General features: G+C 38.3%; 1 annotated feature.

The window, feature by feature from the left end:
• Positions 3,739-4,310: an enhancer, noted in NCBI's record as "OCT4-NANOG hESC enhancer chr5:35332547-35333118 (GRCh37/hg19 assembly coordinates)". NCBI's record gives its function as "activates a minimal SCP1, AML or CMV promoter by ChIP-STARR-seq in naive H9 embryonic stem cells {active_cell/tissue: H9 hESC(naive)}" and the evidence as "EXISTENCE:reporter gene assay evidence [ECO:0000049][PMID:30033119]".

Raw genomic sequence — 5,908 nt, forward strand, 5'->3', positions numbered from 1 at the left:
GAATGCAGTGCTATTCACAATTGCCACAAAAAGTATAAAATACCTAGGAAAACAGCTAACCAGGGAGATGAAAGATCTCTACAAGGAGAACTACAAAACACTGCTCAAAGAAATCAGGAATGACAAACAAAATGGAAAAACAACAGAACAACAAATGAAGAAACATTCCATGTTAATGTATAGGAAGAATCAATATCAATAAAATGGCCACACTGCCCAAGGCAATTTATAGATGCAATGCTATTCCTATTAAACTACTAGTGACATTCTTCATAGAACAGAAAAAATGGTTTTGAAATTCATATGGAACAAAAAAAGAGCCTGGATAGCCAAGGCAATCGTAAGTAAACAGAACAAAGCTGGAGGCATCACGCTATCCGACTTTATATTACAGAGCTACAGTAACCAAAAGAGCATGGTACTGGTACAAAAACAGACACATAGACCAACAGAACAGGATAGAGATCCCAGAAATAAGGCCACACACCTACAATTATCTGATATTTGACAAAACTGACAAAAACAAGCAATGGGGAAAGAAATCCCTATTCAAAAAATGGTACTAGGATAACTAGGTAGCCATATGCAGAAGATTGAAACTGGATCTCCTTTTTACATCATATACAAAATTTAACTCATGATGGATTAAAGTCCTCAAACTATAAAAACCCCGGAAGACAATCTAGACAATACCATTCTGGACATAGGAAAGGGCAGATATTTCAAGATGAAGACGCCAAAAGCAATTGCAACAAAAGCGAAAGTTGGCAAATGGGATCTAATTAAACTAAAGAGCTTTTGCACAGCAAAATAAACTATAAACAGAGTAAACAGACAACCTACAGAATGGGAGAAAGTTTTTGCAAACTATGCGTCTGACAAAGGTCTAATATCCAGCATCTCTAAGGAATTTAAATTTATAAGAATAAAACAACCCCATTAAATAGTGGGCAAAGGACATGAACAGACACTTTTCAAAAGAAGACATGCATGTAGCCAACGAGCATATGAAAAAAAGCTCAGCATCACTGATGGTTAGAGAAATGTAAATGAAAATCATAATGAGATACCACCTTACACCAGTCAGGATGGCTGTTATTAAAAAGTAAAAAAATAACAGATGCTGGTGAGGTTGCAGAGAAAAAGAAACACTTATACACTGTTGGTGGGAGCGTAAATTAGTTCAACCATTGTGGAAAACAGTGTTGCAATTCCTGAAAGATCTAAAAATAGAACTACTATTCGATCCAGCAATCCCATTACCCAAAGTTAATATAAATCATTCAGTCATCAAGACACATGAACACATATATTCATTGTTGCACTATTCACAATAGCAAAGACATGGAATCAACCTTAGTGCCTATCAATGGTAGACTGGATAAAGAAAACTTGGTACATATACACCATAGAATACTATGCAGCCATAAAAAACAATGAGATCACATCCTTTGCAGGAATATGGATGGAGATGGAGGCTGTTAGGCTTAGCAAACTATCACAGGAACAGAAAAACCAGATAAATACCATATGTTCTTACTTATAAGTTGGAGCTAAATGGTGAGAACACATGGACACATAGAGGGGAACAACAGACGCTGGGGCCTGTGGAGGGATGGAGGGTGGCAGGAGAGAAGGAATCAGGAAAAGTAACTAATGAGTACTAGGCTTAATACCTGGGTGATGAAATAATCTGTACAACAAACCCCACAACACACGTTTACCTATGTAACAAACTTGCACGTGTACCCTTGAACTTAAAATCAAAGTTAAAAAAAGAATAATGCACCTTAAACCTACAAATTAGCAAACTGTTTTAGGCAAGAAAGTTTTATAAAGTAAAGAAAAAAAAGTTGAAAATGCCAACATCTTGCAGTACAACCTCTGGGTGGAATTATGTCCCCCATAAAAAATACGTTGGAGTTCTAACTCCCATTTGTACCACAGAATGTGACCTCATTTGAAAATAGAGTCTTTACAGAGGTAATCGAATTAAAGTGAAATTCATTAAATGGGCCCTTGATATAGTTTGGTTATGTGTCCCCTCTAAATTTCATGTTGAAATGTAATCCCCAGTGTTGGCGGTGGGGCCCAGTGGAAGGTATCTGGGCCCTGAGGGAGGATCCCTTATGGCTTGGTGCTGTCATTATGGTGAGTGAGTTCTCACTAGGTCTGGTTATTGCAAAGTGGGGTACCTCCCCCACTGCCTTCTCTTGTTCCTTTTCTCACCATGTGGGAAGCCTGCTCCCTCTTTGCATTCAACCATGAGTAAAAACCTAAGACCTCTCCAGAAGCAGATGCTGGTGCTATGCTTCCTGTACAGCCTGCAGAACCATGAGCCAATTAAACCTCTTTTCTTATACATTATGCAGTGATATGGTTTGGCTGTGTTCCCACTCAAATCTCATCTTGAATTGTACTCCCATAATTCCCATGTGTTGTGGGAGGGACCCAGTGGGAGATGATTGAATCATGCATGCGGTTCCCCCATACTGTTCTCATGGTAGTGAATAAACCTCACGAGATCTGACGGCTTCATCAGGGGTTTCTGCTTTTGCATCGTCCTCATTCTCTCTTTGCCTGCTGCCATCTATGTAAGATGGGACTTGCTCCTCCTTGCCTTCTGTCACGATTGTGAGGCTTCCCCGGCCACATGGAACTGTAAGTCCAATTAAACCTCTTTCTTTTGTAAATTGCCCAGTCTTGGGTATGTCTTTATCAGCAGCATGAAAACAAACTAATACATGCAGTCTCCGGTATTTCGTTATAGCAATGTAAGAATGGCCTAATACAGCCCTAAGCTAATATGACTGGCATCCTCACAAAAAGGGACAATTTAGACCACAGACAGACATGCACACAGGGAAGAAGCTGTGAAGACACACAGGGAGAAGGCAGGCCATGTGATTGCAGTGATGCATCTACAAGCTGAGGATCACCAAAGATTGCCACAAAACACCAGAAGCTAGACGTCAAGGCAGATTTCTCTCCTAAAACCATGAGAGAGAGCATGGCCCTGCTGGCACCTTGATTTTGGACGTCTAACCTCCAGAACTGTGAGACAATAAATTTCTGTTGTTTTAAGCCACACAGTTTTGAGGACTTTGTTATGGCAGCCCTAGGAAACGAATATGCCCAATATAAGTGGCCTATAATTTACATCTCTTACCTTCTCATTCTTACAGGCTGAAATTCTGAGACACCTCCTGGTCGTACTTAGTGTATATATTTTCACTTAGAAACCGATTTGAATGTTGCAAAGGCCTATGCTGCCTGTTAAGCATTGTAATCATGTTGAATCACTATGATTTTATATTATTGCTCCATCCAACGTCTTCTTGGGGCTTCGGATCCTCCTTCCTTTCTGTACCCACACATGAATGATTCTTCTCCCATTTGAAAATATTGTCCACGTGTCACACCACAATGTGTAAAAGAGATTAACCAGGGAGGATCACAAACAAACTGGTTTGAGCCTTAGTCACAAGTCTGAGCAAAATCTCCCCTCAAATTCCAACTAGTTTTCAAAATATCTGGTATTTTAGAATGGCATAATCAGAGCCATAAGAGGGTGCAAAATGTGGCAACAGGAAGTAGCAGGGATCAAGGTACCTCTGGTTTAATGACACTGTTCTGTGTAGCACTGCTTCTGCTCTGTTGTAAGTCTAGTCAGTCTGAGTTCAAAAATGCTGAGCAAATTACACCATGCAGTGCCCCAGCAACCAAGTAATGGCTTGGATTGCTTTGTTCATTAAAATATCATTTCTTTTTTTCCTCCTCATTGAAGCTTAATGGAGAGGGAGCTTCCTTTGAAGTTAACACATGGCAAGAAACAAGATAGGCATAGTCATCTTCTGTGTCCCTTGCCCTCCCATTACCTCGGAATCACAGAAAGACACACATGAAGCACATTTTATCAAATCTATACGAACAAGTTGATGACTAGGGACATTATAATCCTGAAAGACTGCTGAGTGCCACAGAATCATCCACACTATTATTAAGCTTGAGACTATGTGAGATTTGCTCAGAGTTGGCAGGCTCCCTTGTAAGGCATTCAGCCCATCATCTTCCCGGCAGGCATCCCTGAACTTCCAGCCCAGGCACTTGTCTTGTATTTGCTCTTGTCTGCTTGTTCTGCTGCTCTGCAGATCTTCCCCATCATTCTGGTCTCAGCTCGGATGTCGCTTCACCAGGGGTCTTTTTGAATTCCCTTCATTCTCCTTTCTTTTTCCATTGCTTTGTCTTTATTACCCTGTTCTTTCTTCTCATTGCACTTATTACTTCTACAATTTTTGTTTGTATATTTGCAAATATATGTTACAATTCTCACAAATATATATATACACACATATACAATTCATGCAAATATACATATACAATACAATTGCATATACAATTCTCATTTGTATATTTGTATATTCGTCGCCACTCTCCAGCATAATGGAAAGCTCCACAAAGGCACCTAGCTTCCCATCCATATGTATTTGCTGAATGAACACACAAATAAATGCTTACTAGCTCTGTGACAATGATAAATATTGGGTTGTCTCATATGTAAAATTGGGACAAAAATGGTCTTATAAGGATACGAGAAGAATTAAATCAGATAATGATTCTAACAGCAAGAACTTGTATCTTTTATTTATTTTAATTTTTATAGGAGCTTTTGAAATTAAGTACTAAAATACTACCTCCATTTTACAACAGGAGAACCAAGGTTCAGAGAGGTGAATTAATTTGCCAAAGGCCACAGAGCTGGCAAATGTTACAGCCAGCATTTGGACCCAGGGTTCCAGATTTCACAACCCTTAAGCTGTTTTTCCAAATTGCTGACAAGCGATACAGAAACAACTTGAGAAATCACAAGGATATTCAGGTCTGGATTCCGTTTCTTCTATTCTGGCCCCTGTCTAATCTAAGTCTTGTCTTAGTAGAAAAGTTCTGGGGACAGGACAAAATGGGAACAAATCCTAGAAACTGGGATCAGCATATTTATGAGAGAAAAAGAGAAAATAGCAAGATTTATTTTACGAAACAAATTTCTATGGGCTAATATTTAAAGATATATTTTGGAATTTTGCAAAACCTGCCATATTTGAATGAGTTAGAGAAAGGATGTAGATACAAAGGAAAAGTATTATGCAATTTTGGGAGATGTGATGTGTTGACCTAGTGAAGCCTATAAACCAGTCACATAAAACCACATGAGCTAGTATTTCCACCTATTTCTAATGATCGAAAACACATTTAACAATGAAAGTCACTCAGTGTTTCTGAATAGATAAGTTAGATGGTGATGATGATGAGATAGTTCAATGTCACATACACATACAAACATATACACACACATATATAAATTTGTTTCATCAAATTTATGTGTATATACACACATATATACACACATATATATACACATATATAAAGAAGGGGGAAAGTAAAAATAAGCAAGTTTTATTTGATGAAACAAATTTATCTATATATGTGTGTATATGTTTATAAATTTATCTATATATGTGTATGTATATGTGTGTGTATATATGTACATATATATGTACATATATACACACACATATACATACACATATATGTATATACACATATATACACACATATATATACATACTCTTCTTGTGTTCTTAAAATAAGTCATAGAAACAGAATAACACTACCTTTTCATGTCTATCTAAAAACATTTGCTGAATATTCTTTTTTTTTTTTTTTTGAGACAGAGTCTCACACTCTCGCCCAGGCTGGAGTGCAGCGGCGCTCTGCTCACTGCAAGCTCTGCCTCCCGGGTTCGCACCATTCTCCTGCCTCACCCTCCCGAGTAGCTGGGATGACAGGCTCCCGCCACCACGCCCAGCTATTTTTTTTTTTTTTTTTTTTTTTGTATTTTTAGTAGAGA

Source organism: Homo sapiens, chromosome 5 (assembly GCF_000001405.40).
Source record: "Homo sapiens chromosome 5, GRCh38.p14 Primary Assembly".
Classification (NCBI taxonomy): Eukaryota; Metazoa; Chordata; class Mammalia; order Primates; family Hominidae; genus Homo; species Homo sapiens.